The 18,624-nt window shown below is 40.9% G+C and overlaps 1 protein-coding gene across 1 annotated transcript in view; it reads right to left on the minus strand.

The window, feature by feature from the left end:
* Positions 1-18,624, minus strand: part of SH3TC2 (SH3 domain and tetratricopeptide repeats 2) — an 80,913-nt gene that overhangs the window by 50,433 nt on the left and 11,856 nt on the right. Inside the window, exons 3-8 of the mRNA NM_024577.4 lie at positions 15,280-15,407; positions 11,951-12,056; positions 10,112-10,255; positions 8,834-9,035; positions 8,022-8,095; positions 5,713-5,908 (exon numbers count right to left, since the gene is read on the minus strand). Of these exons, the coding sequence (NP_078853.2) occupies positions 5,713-5,908; positions 8,022-8,095; positions 8,834-9,035; positions 10,112-10,255; positions 11,951-12,056; positions 15,280-15,407 (850 nt within the window). The remainder of the gene's footprint in view (positions 1-5,712; positions 5,909-8,021; positions 8,096-8,833; positions 9,036-10,111; positions 10,256-11,950; positions 12,057-15,279; positions 15,408-18,624) is intronic.

Raw genomic sequence — 18,624 nt, forward strand, 5'->3', positions numbered from 1 at the left:
CCAGATACTGTTATTTTATTTAATCCACACATTTGCCATACAAGGCACGTACTACTCTTATCCTTTTTACAGACGAATAAACTGAGGCACAGCAAAATGAAGTTGGTGGTTAGGGAGTGGTAGAGCAGGACATAAGAACTTCTCTAATTAAAGCAGTGTTCAAGGAGGGGATGGGATGGGGGTACTGTAATCAGCCATTACCATTTGTCCCCATAACTCAGGTAAATGTAGTTTGAAAGCCCATGATGAGAACACTATTAATAGTACCACACTGACTGGGCCCCCATCTCCCTGGGCTGATCGCCAGATTCCCCCCAACACCACGGAAGCTTCTAATCTCAAAACAGCATGTAATTGAAATCTACAACTAAATTCAACTGGGATAAATTGATCCCAAAGTTTTATAGATCTCTTAAATTTTACAATGTATTCCTAAATTTACTATTTCATTTACTGTTTATAACAACTTTATGGTGCAGGTTTTTTTAATCCATGTTTGTAGATTAAGAAAAGGATTCAGAACTGTTCAGTGACATGCTAAGAATTGCATGGCTAGAAAGTGGTAAAGCTGAAACTAAAACTGAGGTCTTCTACCTCTGCGTGCATTGCCTCACAACATCTGCTAAAGTCCTGAGTTCCAGGACAACTTACGAGAATTTAGAATTTAGGGAAAGGCCAAGAAGCTTGACAAATTGCATTAGATATTTCCAAACATGAAAACTGGGTTAGAAGAACATGGCAAAGCTTCTGGCAATATGGCAGGTTAAAGGGCTCTAAAAGGGCCACTCTCCCCCATATCTATAGAAAAATCTGTAACAAAGATGAATATTTTAGTACATTATTTAAAGAAAGAAAGGGAAATCACTGGAAGCCAGTAACAAAAGCAAAAACCAAACCCAGATTGGCAGGTGAAAGCAGATGGCCCAGAGCTCCTGGTGGTTTCAGCTGGGACTCTGGCCTTCAGAACTGGGGTTGACCTTCTAATGCCCACCCCAAGGACAGGAGATGTGATTTAGACCTGCCTGAAGCAGGGAGCCCATTAAACTCCCTGGAGTCTGAAAGAGTTCAACTTCTGTAAAGAGCAAAGAGCAGATTGAAAAATTTCTTCCTACCTGCCGAGAACACACTTTTCATCTATTTGAGTCCCTGGAAAACATCAAACACCTAGGCTTATGCCACTGGGACGTGTGGGATCTGAATTTACACTACCTGGTGTTGGTACCACGATCCAAGAATTAATAGTAAAAAATCAGTCCTGGATCATTACTCCCTAAGGTTCCAGGAGAAGCAAATGCAAAACCTAGTCAGCAAGGTTTTCTTCAGTCCAGGATCCATATAAAACCCATCTTTTAAAATGTTGAAAATTAGTTCATGTAACAAAAAATACAAACCATGCAATAAAATGAACTATTCACAACGAGAGCCAGCAGATACACAAATAACTATATTAACACTACAAAAAACTAGAAATGACAATAATCTGAAGAAGAATTTATATGAATGATTAAAAAGGTGAAATAATAAGAAAAAATAGAAGCTACAATGAAAAGATGGAGCACTGTGAGAAGAAACAGCCATATATGAAAAATAGCAAAATATAAATCGTAGAAAATGGAAAATAAAGGCACAGAAATTAAGAACTACATGGGTGGGTTAAACAGCAAGTTTAGTCATAGCAGAGGTGAGAATTAGTGAAACTGAAGATTATGTCAAGAAAATCAATCAGAATTTAGCCTGGTGTGACAAAAAGATAAAAAATATAAAAGAACTGATTAAGCAAGAATGAGGATAGAGTAAGTCCAACGTACCTCTAATAGGAATTCCAGAAGAGAGACTAAAAAGAACGAGAGAGAGGCAATATTCAAAGGAAGAAGGACTGAAAATTTTCCAGAATTGAAGAAAGACATGAATCTTCATATTGAAGAAACACACCAAGTCCTGAGCAAAATAAATAAATATAATATCATTTTTAACATGATGTCCATTTCTTTATGCTTACAGGTCTTTTTAAGTTCTCTATTTCTCCTACGCCTCCTTTCTTGGTTTAATTACTATTGACAGTTCAACTTTATAGAATGAATGAATTGAATATGAAAGATAAGATCATAAATTAATGAAATAAAAACAAAGAAAGTAGACAAAAATAATCAAAGCAAATGCTGTCATTAATGAAGTATCATTATAAAAACAAAAATCAATAAAGATGGTCAACAAAAGAAAAAATGATTCTCTGAAAAGACAAGCAAAATGGACAAGGCCCTGGCAACATGGATTTGCAATTTTATAGTTAAAGTTATTTTTTCCTGCAAACTTTGAAGATGTTATGCTATACCTAGCTAAATTATAATTCAAGAGTATATGTTAAGTGTTATATATATTTAAGACAGGCCAAGACTCAGGACTGAGAGTATTTATAACCCACAGATCTTCACTGAAAATAGCTACTAAAATAGATACTCTATGAAGAAGAAGTGGACAACTTGCTGTCAATATGTAATAAAATATATTACACGTAGACACATCATGCAAATAAATGGCTATGAGACCAATGGCAAAATTATTAGTGTCAAAAATAGATTCCACAAGAAATTGAATTATAAAGACACAGGCAATATGAAGAATAAAAGAAGGAATGTAACAAAAGAATGTTTTCTAACTGTAATACTATAAAATACTAGCTTTTTTCCTATGTTCTTTTTTCTGGTTTTGAGTACATTAATTTATCAATCTGACTTATTTTTTTAATTTAGGCACTTAAGTATACACACATACTTTAGGGAGTAATACACAAGCACAAAAAGAAAACCTACACGGAGAAGATGGAGACTTCAGCAAAGGCTGAATTTCTTCTCAGACCCTGACACCCAGCAAACATAGACAAGAGTGACACCCAGTGGCCAGTCGGACGGCAGCGTGCAGAGACTTCAGCGGCTTGCTTGCGTGGAGTTGGGTCATTCCTCTGAGCTCAAAACCCATCCCTCTGTTGCTGTGATTCAAGGAGCTCTGATATCTGGAGAGTGCTTTGGGGGATATGCAAGGAGCCAGTTCCCCTCTTCTCCTTGTGCCACCCCTCCCTGTTTTCTGACTCATTTTCCCCTTCGGTACCAATTGTGCAATCTCTGGTGCATTGGGTCCCACAACTGACCAGGCACAGGAGAATGTCATAGTCCACCTCACACAGCACAGAGGACGCTGCTCTTCAGTGTGAGAGGACCCCTTACAACTAAGCCAGTGAAAATATGATGACTGAATTAATTCAGTAGTGCTGACTTACTGTCATTTGAGGTAAATTAGCGTGAGGTGCAGAAGTCCAAATATAAGTTATGAAAATGACATCTGTCCCCAATATCCTATTAAAACTGCCTCTCAAGATCACCACCCACAACAACGGCAATGACACAAACAACAATAAGAACAAGTGCCTGTGGATCATACACACACACACACTGTGCCAGGCACCATTCTAAGGGCTTTGTGTGTATTATTAGCTCATTTAAAGTCACGGCAATCCTATTAGGCAAGTGCTAACATTCTACACATTTTACAGATGAGAAAACTGAGGCATGGAGAGATAAATGAATATGTCCAAAGACAAGGAGCTGGTAAGCCAGTGGAGGCACAAGCTGCACTCACATGGTCATGAATGCCTTTTGGGGACCCTGACTCCACAACTCTGTAAGCCATGTAGCTACTGTGCTTCCAGAAGACCTACCAATGGCCAGTCCCAAAGGCCTTTCTTTCCTCACTTGGCCCTGCTGTACCTCTCTGATGACAGCACAGGTGTCAGCCCCGCCTCCCCCGCAGCTTGTTTCTTCCTCTCTGTGGCTCCTCTGTTTCCTCTCTGCGTTCTCTCTTCCTCTGCTCTGTAAATGGAGGCATCCTCCAGGGTTCTTCCCCCATTCCTATTTTCCATCCTCTTTTTTCTTTCTCCCTTTCACTGGGACTTCTCACCAGAATGTATTGGATTTCATGTCAGGATTTAAAATCACCAGGACATTTAATGAGAGCTCACTGGATTTAATGTCAGGATTCTAAAGTTCCAGAGGGAAGGCCTTGGGTTCAGCTCCTTCATCCCTGGGGTCCTCTGTTCCCCCTGTGGTAACATGAAGGGGTGGTTCAGAGCAATGTTCTCACCTTGGTTGCCCACCAGCCCCACCTGGGGAGCTTTTATCAATATAATTGCCCAGCCTCCATCCAGACCAGTTACACAACAGCCTCTGGAGGCAGAACACAGGTGTCCATATTTGTAAAGCTCCTGGAATCTTTGACTTCCTGTCCATTGGTCCTCAGCAGTGGCCTTCCTCTCCATTCTCACCCTTTTCTAAGTGCCACCGTGGGCTTCTCGCTGGTCTCCTGCCTCCAGATTCCCCCTGATGATGCATGCCTCCCCCAAAGCCAGGTTTCATTTCCTAGAGAAAAGGTCCAGTCATATAATATGTCACCCTTGCTCAGAGACATGCAGTAGCTCCCCATTCTCTGCCAGGTTAAGGAAAGGGCCCTCACACAGGCATTCCCAGGTTTCCAGAGCATGGACCCACCTTTGCTGCACCAGTGACCTTCTGGTAACTTCCTCCAAACTACATGAGTCGTTCTTCAAGCACTGACTCACTTTCCTACCTATGACCTCTTTTCCCATCAACATCTGTTGAAATATTTTACATTGTGCAAAGCTTAATTCACATGTCCCCTTCTTCATGAAGTTCTCTTGATATCCTTTTCTTCCTTACAAGTCCCGATAGTTCTCCATACCTCTCCAGGAGCTCAGTGAGTGGTCTTCCTTGTTTATAGTTATTTGGACTCCCACATTTCTACATAGAAAAAAAATAACCTTCTGTCTCCTCCTCTCCCCACGAAGGGCAGGGCTTACAGGGAGCTTCTGCCCCTTGGTCTGCTCTCTTCATTGGCTATTTCCCACAAGAGAAAGAATTTAAGTCTCTGTTCAGATCGTTAGACATTTCTGGGGCCACATTTTCCCAGTGTAGGGCGCTATGTTGTGTCAGTGTTAGGAGCCAACTCTCCCTTTCCTCGTGTACTTCCTGCGCCCAGGCTTTCTACTGTTTCCTATCCCCACATAGGAAGCCCACTCCAAAAAGATGGAGCAATACCCGATATCTCTGTCCTTCCATGACAGGGTGGGTGGAGCAGGCTGATCACCTTCTCCTGATTGGCCAGGCAGATGGGTCTGCTCCTCAGAACCAGCCTTTCTGGATTCAAGGCAGAAAAGAGTAAGAGAAACACTCTGCCCTCCTAGCCAATGCTGAAGTCACACATTGGCATTCAGCTTGAAAGCTGAATGAGTGAAGATCTACATGGGACCCACCTCCCAGCCCTATGTGGGATCAGCATGCTGCTAATCTATTTCTCCCCGTGTGTGCCCTTCCTCTGAAGGGGCCCTGTGGTTAGACAGTGTGGGTAGCAGGATCCAAGTACCAAAACCACACCCTCAGTGCCTAACAGCATGCCCTTTGTCTTGGAGTTTTGCTTCCCTCCTTGCACAGAGGAAGTCCTCAGTGACCACCTGTTAAAATAAACTGAACTGACGCATTCTCTCCTTTCTATCACTCTCTGTATCAACCTTGGTGTCAGCATGTGCTTTTCTGGCTCCATGTCACCAGGGCACCCTCGAAGCTCAACTGCAAATCTGCTCAAAGAGGGGAGGGAACCCTGGGAAAGGGAGCCCAGCTCCAGGACATGCTCACTGTCAATACTCACATTGGGGAATAAGAATCAGGATCTATGTTCCTGGTGGGGACAAAGCCCACTTGTCCTGAACTTGTCGACTTTCCAATGAACCACTGAAGCCCAGGTATGACAAAGCCGATGATCTCAATGCTTTCTCCCTGGTAGAAATTCAGTTCATCCTTTTCTCCTGGCTCATAACCCGTCAAGGCCTTACAGCGTCCTCTGCCTGTGGAAAATAGCACACAGATCAGCTACAGAAGACATGAACAGCTGAGCCTCCCATCACCTTCCAATGCAATAGAAAATGAGGGGTTCCCAGACTTTAGAATGTCAAGGACCAGTAACATTTCACTCCCCTCCCCACCCAAAAATTGGCAGGAATGACACAGGACAATTTGCTTTTCATTTTGCCAAACTAGGACATATTTTTAAAAGAACTACAATCCACTTTCACCAAAGAAAAAATGTTTTAACAAACACAAAAAAAGATTCTCAGATAGCGGATATGCCTTAAAAATGAATAAACATAGCTTATGGGAAACTGGAAAGCTCACTGTATTGTCCTGGTTTGTCTGATTTTGCCACTGTAATGTAAATGCTTTGTCATGGTTGGCACAAATCCACAGACCAGTGTGTGAGAACCACTCGACCAGAGAAGCTCTCCATGTCCTTCCAGCTCCTTTGGCCTCTATGACCCTCAGTCTCCCCAACTGGAAAATGGGGATAATAGGAATACCTGCTGCTTATAAATATTAAAGAGAATCAAAGAGATACAGTGCACAATGCCTGGTACCTGGTCAACCCTCAATAAACATTAGCCTTATTACCACTGGTGGAATAGAAAGCTGCTAATGACTTAGAAGGATCTAAAAGACTCCCTTTCAGACTATGGTACTCAATCTGATAAATTGCCTACCTAGGATCTAGCAATGACCTTTTGATGAATGTTTTTCTGTCCAGTTTACAAAGTACAATTTGCACTCACTTTCTCAGGTCTTCTCAAGAGCTTCAAAGGGCACGGAAACTATCAGAATCCCCTTTTCCCAGGTTACGGAGGGAGAGAGAGGGTATGAGATTTGTCTAAGGATCTTATGCATGGCAAAACTGAGTCTAGAGCTTAAGTCTTCAGGCTGCTGGTTAGCCTCTCCATTAATCCTGGTGGAGATAAAGGCTTTTATGTGCCTCAGTTTCCATATTTGCTTTAGCTTCTCTGCTAAAGCTACTAGCCTATTTTTTCTGACATTTTTGGTCAAGTTTCTAGATTGTGTTTTCAAGATCAGAAATTCTCACTATTTTGTGGGTCGATGGGATCTACCATGTGTTAAATATCTACATTGTAAGAGAAACTGTGCAAAGTGATTTATGGATGTCATTTTGTTTGGTTCTCATAACAACATTTAAGTTGGTTTTATTGTATCATTTTACTAATGAGGAAGTTGCAACATAGGGCAGGTGGATTGGCCAAGATCACACTGGTTTTAAGTCAAGGAGCCAGAATTTGAACCAGAATAGACTTCAAAGCCTTGCGTTCTAACTACAAGGCTGTACTGCTTTAGGAAGCTAAAAATCTTGTTTGTCATCAGTAATTTATTAGATCTGATGTCTGGGTTCCATAATCCTATTTCTTTTTTTGTGTTATTTGGGCTCAGCACTTATAAAATTGTACTTTGTGGTAGGAGTGTGTGGGAGGGAGGTGAAGGGGAGTTCTAAAGATGAAGATGAACAGAAGGTATTTCTAGATGTCTAAAAAGTGTTGGACTTCATTATCCAGTAGATATGGATCTACAGTACTTACAGATATGTGTGTATACACACATACAGATTACTTAAATTGTGTGTGTGTGTGTATATAATTCATTTATTCAACAAATTTTTACTGAGTACCCTTATGTGCCAGGCATTTCTACTCTTCCTAAATTCAAAGTTAATTTTACAAAACTCTAAGGGAAATTAGAAAATGTTTTGACCAGAGATTGAAACAGGCAGCCCACAGGCCGCATTTGGCTCACGAAACATTTAATTTGGCCCTGTTTTTTCACTCATATATCTTAAAATCCCTAATTATTCCTGCCATTCCCTAATACCTTCCATCCAGGCCCCCTAGCATCTGTGTGTCCTGCCCACACCTGCAGGCATTTGTAGCTGCCCCCTGGATTGAGACCTCTCATTTCACAGGCAGGGAAAACCATGTGCACAGACAGAAACTGGCTTCCCTAAATCCAGTTCCTAGCAGAGACGAGACAAAAATTCACATCAACTGACTCCAAACCTGCAGATAAAATTGAGAGGCAGGACAACATTATCTCCCTAACAATACTATGTTTTTGACTCAGCCATACCAATCTGATAGGAGCCTGTCCAATCCCTCTTCCTGGAAAGGCCACAGCTTCCTGGATAATTCTTTAGGAACCACCTGCCAATGAAAACATGGGGTTTGCAAACACAGATTTCAAAAAATTGCAACAATGAACAGAACAGTCTATCAGAATAATGATGATGATGATGAGTATTGTTTTTTCTCTTATTTAAATGATGGCAAAAGTTTATTGAGAACTTACTTTCTACCAGGACCTGTGAAAAGGTGAGAAGTTAGTAGACCTGGGATATTTTGTGGCTCCGAAAGTAGTTTGTCAGTTAAATAACTAACAAACAATCCCTTTACACTTGAACTGTCAGATCTCTGCCAGAGCCACACAGGTCCATGGTGTGGGGTAATGTTTACTGTCAATCTGTATATTTAAGTTTAATCATATCTTCCAGCAGGATTTCTTAAACTTTAGTGTGAAAAGCATCTCCTAGGAAGTTTATTTAAAATGAAGATTCCTAGACTCAACCCCAAGAAAGTCTAAGGAGGCCCAGACAAGTGGTCCCCAGTCCATACATGGAGAAACACTACATTGGCGGTCGTGTGGTATATTTGCTGCTAGGTACAATGCCCATCTGAAATTTAGAGTTGTCTCCAATTTCATCAGATTGTTAAAATTCTTGGTTGTTAAAAAAGAAAAGAAAAAGACAGAAAGATAAAGACCCACCCAGAATCTGTTCTCTCCTCCACACTATGGATGCCCATATCTGAAAGCATGCCTACTCTGTTCTGTGCAAACCTCAGTCTGCTCTGGGACTTGCTCCCAGGAGGCAGATGGCTACTCACTGGTGGAAAGGGAGAGGCAGAGGCTCCAAGGCTGACACCAGTACCAGGCCCCGCTGACCTGTCACCAAAGACACGCCTTCCAACTCGGAGCCAGCTTCTGCCATCTTCACTGAGATTAACTCATTCTTGCAAAGTGTCAAGCATTCCCCTTCCTTCTCGGCTGGTGGAGTCACGGAGCACAGGGCTCTGCAGAAGAAGTGGCCTGTGGATAATGAGAAAAGCAATGGCTTTCTAAGGAGTAGCAGGAAGTGAAAACGGATTATCACACAAAGTAATGCTTCTATTCAGAGCTGGAGTACTTTTCTTCCTGGAAGTAAAGTAGACGTTTCACAGGGGAGACACTAAAAGAGGCCTTATGATCCCAGGAACACTGATACCAGGAAGAAAAAAGCCATTGAGAGGGAATTCAGTTAAAACAGACACCAACATTTCTAATAATCTATGAGAAAAAGGCTTAATTGGGACTTTATCTTGAAAAAGAGATGAAAACTTGTGAAAATATATTTATATTTAATAGAATTTCATTTATTGTTGCAACCTCATGATTAAAATTAGAACCAAAAAAGAATTGATTAAATTAGTTTGGGTGAATATAATTACTCCAATAAGTTTTATAATAGCATGATATTAAATTCTTTCCTTCATGCAATATTTCTGCAATGCAATCATAAGAGTCCTTTTTGCAAAAATATCATATGCAAATCTGGCTCTTTCCACGTGTCTGTGATGTCATCAGGCTTATCCACCTCATAGTTGTTAATTGGTAGATGATAACCTTGATGGGACTCTCACCTATAAACAGATCAAGAGGTGCTCCAAGAGGTTCCTCAACATCACTTTCCTCACTTTCATAAAAAACTTCAAGTTTTGCAACATTTGCAACTTTATTTTACAATCAAATTTTATCACGTTTGGAAAAGGGTTTCTCGATTTTGGGTAGACATTAGACTTATGTGGAAAACTTTCCAAAATATGCCAATACTTGGGCCTTCACCTTCAGAGATTTAATGGGCCTAAGTGGAGCCCTGGCTTGGGTATCTTAGTAAAACTCTCCAAGCAGTTCTAACATCAATCAGTGAGACTGACCAGCACAGCTGTTCGTGTAATGTCAGTGTTGAACTCAGAGGAATGTTCAAAGTACTATTATAACAGGTGGGTTCATTTGTGAATATTCCATGTTTGAATGATTTTTCCCTCCCTTTGCATCCTGCTTATTTCATGGCCTCTGGTAGCAAATATCTGAATAAGATCCCATCTCTACCCCTATGCCACACTCACCTTCCTGTATCAGGAGTCCCAGGTATATTGTTTCCAGGTGTTTATCATCTACAGACACTTGGATCTCTGTATCCTCCACCAATATGCAGTTGAGCCAGTACTTGTGGTCAAAGAGGAGATGTTCTAGACACATGGATACGTAGCCTAAGAAGTCAAGCCAACAAGATTTCTGAACAAAATGATTTCTGACATAGCTGAGCACAGAAGAGAGTGAGAAAATTCCCTCCTGAGCTTGATTCCCAGACCACAAGCCCCAACCTGCCATTTAACTGGAATTAAAACAACATAAGAGGCAAAGCCAGACATTTTCTAGAATGAGTTGAGTCTTCTCAACATCTATTGGGAAATACAAGTCATTTCTAAATGTTATTTACCATTTCAACATATTGTGAGTTTCCATAAATGCATAATGAGATGACCAAAACCAACTGCCTTTTTCTAATACAGCCACGGAGGTCTCCAAGTTTACAGTGTTGACTATGGGGGTTCCTAGTGCCCCCTTAAAGTTCTCCTGACCTGAGGTTCAAACTACTGTGTCCCTGATGATGCAGTGGCTGAGGAGGTTCTACATGGCTCCCCCTCAGTGAATTTCAGGAGTCAGGATTTCCTTCCACCCACCAGCTCTGACCCTGCCCCTCCTCCAATGCCCAGAAGATCTCTCTGGTAAAAGCAGACTAAAAACTATGTAAATTGTAAAACTCTAATAATTATATATAGTATTTTAAACATGGCTATAAACATGAACTACTCGTATTGCTTCTCTTGAGGCTTCTTCTGTTTCCTAAGATGCAAAAGCCTGTCTGTTTCTATCCTGACTGTCCATTGTGCTGATCTAGGCCTTATGTATCTTCTATAATTGCACTTTTGAATTTTAATGTGCACACAAATCACATGGGGATCTTATTAAACTACAAATGCTTAGTAAAGGTCTGAGATAGGGTTGAGCTTCTCCTTTTTTTTTTTTTTTTTAACAGACTCTATGTGCTGCCAACGAGCCGGTCTATGGAGCACAGTTTGAATAGTGAGGATGTCTGATGGTCAGGAAGGAGATGTGTAGTGTGGAGATCAGATCTCCAGACCATAAGAGGAGAAGATACACCTTATGTTTTCCAGTCATGAGTCATCTTGACCCTCCACCCCTGCACAAAATCTGTCCTTGTGTATGTCGGCATGGAGCCCAGCATTTTCTGGGAGATATAAAACATCCATCAAATTAGGTGGCCTGTTGTTTTGTTTGGCTTCACTTTAACTTCCCCATTATAAGTTGTTCTGTCTGGAGAAGGCAGGTGAACCATTTCCCACCACAGTGGAACTGACGCTGCATCCCAATGTCCTTCTTTACCTTCTAGAAAACGCTGCAGCCTTAGGTTGCTATAAGCAGATAATTTCTCTATTTCTTTCTTTAACTCTTTTCCAAATACATGCAATAAAACATCTGGAACTTTGCTATTGACTATGTTGAGCAGCTACTTCGATCTTACTCAAGATTAGTTCCCTATAGTTTAAAACACACACACTAGCACCAAGTTCACATCTATTTCAGTACTTTGAACTTAGTAGATGACCAATAACTGTTTTCCAATTGATTGGTTATCTAATAAAAAAAGATCTCCCTGGACACAAAAAAGCAAACTTCTTCATACGGCATTTTAGAATAATAGTTAATATTTGCCTTAGATTTAGTTTGAGGCACTTTGTGAAATTTCAAAAGTTAACCATCTTTTTTAAGGCTCTATTTCTCTTAATTACCAGAGCCAGGCCAATTCCTTCATGTCAAGCCCTACAAATTGGCTAAATTGTGGAGGAGGTCATCCTCCACCTGCTTGCCTTGTACCATACCTAAATTAAGGTAGGTGGAGAACTTCCAGATTTCCTCCATGGTCTTGAAGGTGATGAGAAACTGGGCCCTCTGAGACTGGATACTGACCAACCTTGCTGAGAGGTCCTACGTAAAGGAAACAATGAGTCAGCCTGGGATGACAGAAGTGTCCCATTAGCAAGCTCTTATATAGACCAAATACTCTGTATGAACTTCTTGATTATGGCATTGATTTTTACGTCACCAAAAAATGGAAACAACTTAAATATTCATCAATAAGAGATTGGTTAAAATGGAGTACAATTTATCCATAAAGTGAAATATTGTATTATGCAGCCACAGAAAAGAAGAAAGAAGCTCTTTGTGTACTGATATAGGCTCCAGATATAATACTGCTATACAGCGGCAGCAGCAAAAGAAGCCAGGGAATAGAACTATGGGCAAAGAATGCTACTTTTTGTGTTTAAAAAAAAAAGTGTATGTGGGAGGATAAAGGACGCTGATTCATAGAAGGCATCTTGAAAGCAAATTTGATTATGAGTCTATGTCTAATGATTATTTTTATTAATACAAAGCTGAAAACAGAAAAACCAAAACACACAAAAATAATCATCCCTAGTCCCTACTCCTAAAGATCATCAGTGTTAACATCTTCATGTAATAAATTTGCATCTTTTTTCCTACACAAGTTTCCATATAACTATTTCACATATATAGAATCACATTGCATAAATTATTTTGCAATCTTCTTTTGCTGCTAAGCAATATTTTGCAAAGCATCTTCTATGTCATCACAAAGTTTACACCATTCTTAATGGTTACATGTGCCATTGTTGCATTAACATAATGAATTATTATCATTTTCTTATGGTTTCATGTTTGGATTGTTTTACATTTTTTAAAATCCTAAATGGTACTGTGATAAACATCTTTATAGCTAAATCTTTGTGCACATTCTTAATTGTTTTAACACATGTATTTCTAAGAGGTGCAATTGGAAATGCAAGGATATGCACATTTTCAATCCTAAAATGCAGTCACCCAACTGTCCCCCAGGAAGGCTTTCCAATTTACATGCTCACAAGGAGAGTGACAGGAAGACTATAAGCCTCTTGGGGGTTTTTTTGTTTTCTTTTGTTTTGTTTTTTTAGACGGAGTCTCGCTCTGTCGCCAGGCTGGAGTGCAGTGCAGTGGCGCAATCTCGGCTCACTGCAACCTCCGCCTCCCAGGTTCAAGCGATTCCCCTGCCTCAGCCTCTCGAGTAGCTGGGACTACAGGCACCTGCCACCACGCTTGGCTAATTTTTTGTATTTTAGTAGAGATGGGGTTTCACCATGTTGGCCAGGATGGTCTCGATCTCTTGACCTCATGATCCACCCACCTTGGCCTCCCAAAGTGCTGGGATTACAGGCGTGAGCCACCGCACCCGGCCTGGTTTTTTTATAATACCTAAAAAAAAAGCAGGTCTGAATCACTGCCCAGACTTAGTTTTCCCTTAAATCTGTTGTTTGTCCAAGCCTCCGGAGTTGACTGTAACAAGTGACGGTCAGAACATCCCTCCACCAGGCCAGGTCCTGTCATCAGTACCAACTCCAGGAGCTCTATCATGAGGGAAACTTAGAGGAAGAAGAAGATAGAAGAATCCAGAAGAAAAGCCCCAGTTCAGTAAAATCAGAACTCTGGGGTTCCTTCTGCCATACCAAACCCCAGGAGGCCCCAGATCCATCATTAGGGAAGGGGTGCTAGGTAAAAATCAACTTACAGAGAATTTACTACATCCCTGGCACTTCACCCAGAGCTTTATGAGCAATATGTCATTTAACTCCCACAAAAGCGCTATGAAGAGAATGCAATGACAGTATTTGGGCCATTCCAAAATGTGCTTTTATCACATTTAACCACTTCTGAACTAAAAGATAAGGAAGTATGTCATCAACCATAATTGGCAGCATTTGTTTTCTTTCTTGGAAGTACATAAAATAACAGTGCATTTTATAATCAATGGCATCTTAGATCTAATGAAAAATGGCATTATCCCTGTTGCATATTCAAGGGGGCCAAGGCACAGAGAGGTTAAGTAAATTGTCCAAGGTCACCTTCAGGGAGTAAGCTGCGGAGCCTTGATTAGATTTCAGATCTAGCTGACTCCAGGCCTCAACTGTAGCCCACAAGTATGTCTGACTCAAGCTTCAGCCCAGCAGACCAGCTCTCTCAATCAACCCTGCTCCTGCCATACCAAATGAGACTCAAAATAAAGGAAAATCTACAGTACCAATAGCAGCCAGTGTCTCCCAGTTCCTGAATTCCAGATATTAAAAAAAATAAAATAAAATTCAAAAAAATGTAGCTACTGTTTATGGAACACATATCACCAAACACAATGCCAAGCTCTCTACTCATACAATCTCGTTTTCCCCCTGAAAAACCAGACATTATCTTTTTTTGCTGCATGACATTTAGAACACTTTTCTCCTTCAGTTTGTACCAGATTCATGCAGAAACTGTAAAAAGTAACTAGAACATATTAGTTTATGTAAAGTAATATTATCCTTTCCCTACCTCTAGTTGAAACAACTTTTTTCCATTTCTGACTTTAGTTCTCCTACTTAATACATCCTAAACTGTAAATAATTTGATCATACCATTCTTCCTTGGTTTTAACAAATGAAGATATTATCTACCTACTATGAAAGATGAGAAATTGGTTTATTTACTTTATTGTTTTTTTCCTCCTCTCACCCAAGTATTTATAAGGTATTGTTTTTTGATTGGCAATCTTGGTACTTTAAAAATATATACTTAGCGGTTACCAGGAGCTGAGACATGGGGATAATGGGAGTTATTGTTTAATAGATATGGAATTTCAGTTTGAGATGATGAAAAAGTTCTGGAGGTGGATAGGTTGTGAATGTACTTAGTGTCATAGAGAATCATACACTTAAAAAATGATTAAAATGGAAAATTTTATGTTATGTATATTGTATCACAGTAAAAAAAAAGAATTTGAAATTACCGCATTAGAAAAAAAGTATACTTAATGAGGTAGGTATTATAACAACTCCCATTCTATATAGGTTAAGTAACTTGTCAAAGATCACAACTAATAGAATATTTGAAACCAAATTTTCTCTGACTCAGCAACTCCAAGTTGCCTCATTCAGAGTTCCTGCCCACTCCTCTCCACTCCTGTGCAGAGAATGTGCACGGAATCTTTCATTCATTCAGTCTACCTATTAGATGTTTTTTCCGAGGACCTACTTTGTTCCAGATGCTGTCTTAGATGCTAGGGATCCTGTAGCAGACTGACACAAGTCAGTACTCAGCATTCACCTGTTTCCTTCATGCTCACCTTAAACAGCATGCGCACCTCCTGGTCCTCATTCTCCAGTGCCCAGAGCCGCCTCCGAGCAGCTTCCTGTAGGGGTCCATTTACACACCTCCTGGAGCGGCTCTTTACACAGAAGGAGAGTGTCAGGTCTTAAAGAGAACAGAGAGAGAAGGATCAGGCTGAAAATAGAATAAAAAGGAAGAAAGAGTTAGATTAGCCCACAGTTTCCCCTACATGTATACCTGAACCCTCAACTGGTGTCCTCATTAGTTACAGATTAGAGTGGTCTTAACACTTCTCGGAGCACTCCTTTAAATGGTCCTCCCTTGAGGAAAAACACATACTGAACCCAGGAGGGCTCTGGAATCGCAGGAGTTGATGCACTCACGTTGTTTATTTCTGCTTTGTACGGGGTTTATTCCTACACTGCCTGGCACTGATGTAATGGTGCTGACACAGGACCAGCTAGGACATACATCACTCCCTGTGAATGACTTGTGAAAGTTTAGAATCAATAGGACTTTATCCATATTTAAGGAAATGTACTTATGTGTCAAAGTTATCATATGTAATAGACATATACTTTGTGCATTACACATTAACACATACACATAAACATGAACACATTACACATAAACACATTTTCTCTAACCTGTCTTTTCTGATACTGCAATTATTAATGTTTATCAGGGTAATTAGTTAATGTATTAAAGTCTACCTTTAATTTCTCCAAAATGTACATTCATGTAACAGATACTTATCAAGAGCTTTCTATAAGCCAGAAGCTGTTTTATGGGCTCCTCAGCAAAGAACAAAACAGGCAGTCCCTGTTCTGATGGAGCTTGTATTCTTCTTGGTAAGTGAGTAACTAGGCAAGAAATTCCACAAACATAATAGTTTCAGATGGAGAAGAGCGCTATGAAAAAAAATTAATGGGGTCAAGAGACAGAGAGATGGAGTGCTTGAAGGCAGGGGATACCTTTGGATAGTGTTGTCGAGAAAGGCCATACTGAGGAGGTTCATCGTATAATTGCACTTTGCAATGTGTCTTCTTTAGACAGTAAGTAGCAATCCTGTTAATAATTATTCAACACAATAAACTGAGAAGGCGTTGGAATGGATCATCACAGAGGTCTCACTTGCAGCCTCAACTTGCCAGGACCTCTGCAAATTCCTCAGCACATTAGAGATGACCCCTATCATGCTGGCCTGAGTCCACAAGACAGCTGTGGACTTCTACCTTTAAAAGGCCTGTCTTTAACCTGAAAATGCTGTGGCTGCAAATGAGCTCTTCTATGACATTCCCATATAACCTGACTTTGATGTAAACTTCACGTGGGTGTTTGTTCCATGCAGTTCCTCCTAGGCTTATGCTCCAATCTCATGCAACCCCTTTCACTTCAGCACCCCGCATCCATCCAGGCCTCCATCTGGTAGCCTCATGGCATGCTGAGCTCTAGGAGGAGGCACAGTGCAAAGATGAAGCCCAGGGAGGGGTCACGCAGTCTCCAGCTCAAGACTTGGCTCTGCCCCTCAATAAATGTGCCACCCTAAACAATTAATCACCTCTCTATGCATGGCTTTTCCCTTTAGCAAAATGACTTTTATAGTACCTATCCCACAGGGGTTTTAAGATGTTTACTAGACTGGGCGCAGTGGCTCATGCCTGTAATCCTAGCGGTTTGGGAGGTCAAGGGAGGAGGAGCACTTAAGCTCAGGAGTTCAAGACCAGCCTGGGCAACATGCCAAAACCCTGTCTTCTGACAAAAAAGAAAAAAAAATTAGCCAGACATGGTGGCCTGGGCATGGTGGTGCATGCCTGTAGCCCAGTTACTCAGAGGCTGAGATAGGAGGATGGCTTGAGCACAGGAGGCTGAGGTCACAGTGAGTCAACATCACACCACTGCACTCCAGCCTGGGCAACGGAGCAAGACCCTGTCTCAAGGAAAAAAAAAAAAGCTTCCTAAATAACATCGTGGATATAAAACTTTTTACTCAGTGCCTGGTATGTATCAAAGATTCAGTAAACACATTAAGCATTAGCTGTTCCCCTCCTCACCTCCCCACTACCAGCAAGTACTGCTCATGGCTGGCTGCCCTCAGGTGATCATGACTATTAACCTTGGCAATAACTGATTCTATGATTCCTTTCTACCAAACCCATCTCATCCATCCTTCCAACATCTGATCCAAAATCCCCCATTCGTAGCCCCTGCTGACTGACAAACAGGGCATTTGGTGTGAATCTCCTTACCATGCACATGAATCTATGTATATGGAACTCAAAAGACCTGGACTTAAATAAGCAGACTGCTCTTGAGATCTCAACCGTGAGAACTGATACTTAGAGCAGAACCCCTGTGCCCACAGTGGGATCCTACAGTACCCTCTGCATCACTAGAGCAGGGAAGAAGTCAAGCTCAATATCATTTTCATGAAGTGTATTGTGTCACAGATTAATCCTTCTCAAAGTCAGTTCTGTAATTGTGATAATATGTCTGACTGATTCTGTCTGCAACTGTACTCATTAAGGAGAGGTTGGCAGCTACAGCCATCTCCCCTTCTCACTCCATGACCTTCCTGGAAACAGCATCAGGGTGGAAAATGCTGAAAGATGGACAAGTTCAGCCCGAGGTCAGTTCAGTTTCACCTACAGATACCCTTTGTTCACTGGCCTTCATGCATTGATAAGGCAAAATGCTGACTCTACTGCATTCATGAAACAACAGATGGTAATTCAGGTTTTTTCAGGGGTGGTCCAAGCTGACAGACAGATAAGCAGATTGACACAATATCAAGAAACAAAGGGCAAAGTTTTTCTCATTGTCAACCAAGAAGTTTGACAGAATTTGAAATTGGGCTTATGGCTATACCACCCTGAACATGCCCGATCTCATCTGAAATTGGGAAAAGAAAGAACCTGGTATGACATGTATACAATATCTATTTACGTAGTCTAGATCCTTTAAATATTTATAATCTTTTTCACAAGTCTATATTTTGTATTACAGGGAGAGCTATATTTTTGGAGGGTGAAGGAGCATTGTAGTTTTGAACAAGGCCCTTCCTCATCACGTGTTAACTGTGTCGTGGTGAAGTCGTTTCCCTCGCTGACATTCTGTTTCTCATCAGCTAAATGGAGATTTGGGTGCTTCCACCTAGCGATGGGCAAGCAAAAATGAGAAAAACATGTGAGGATCATTTGGCACACAAATTGCCCTCTAAAATGGTCCCATCTACCGTACAACAGAAATCAAGTCTTCTACAGGTTTGTCCTCAGAGTTTCTGTTACAGAGTTCTGCCCAGGTGCACCTTTCCTCTGATAACAATTTTCTCTTTGCGGGCTTCATCGATGTCTTTTAAAAA

The sequence above is a fragment of the Homo sapiens genome, chromosome 5 (genome assembly GCF_000001405.40).
Source record: "Homo sapiens chromosome 5, GRCh38.p14 Primary Assembly".
NCBI lineage: Eukaryota > Metazoa > Chordata > Mammalia > Primates > Hominidae > Homo > Homo sapiens.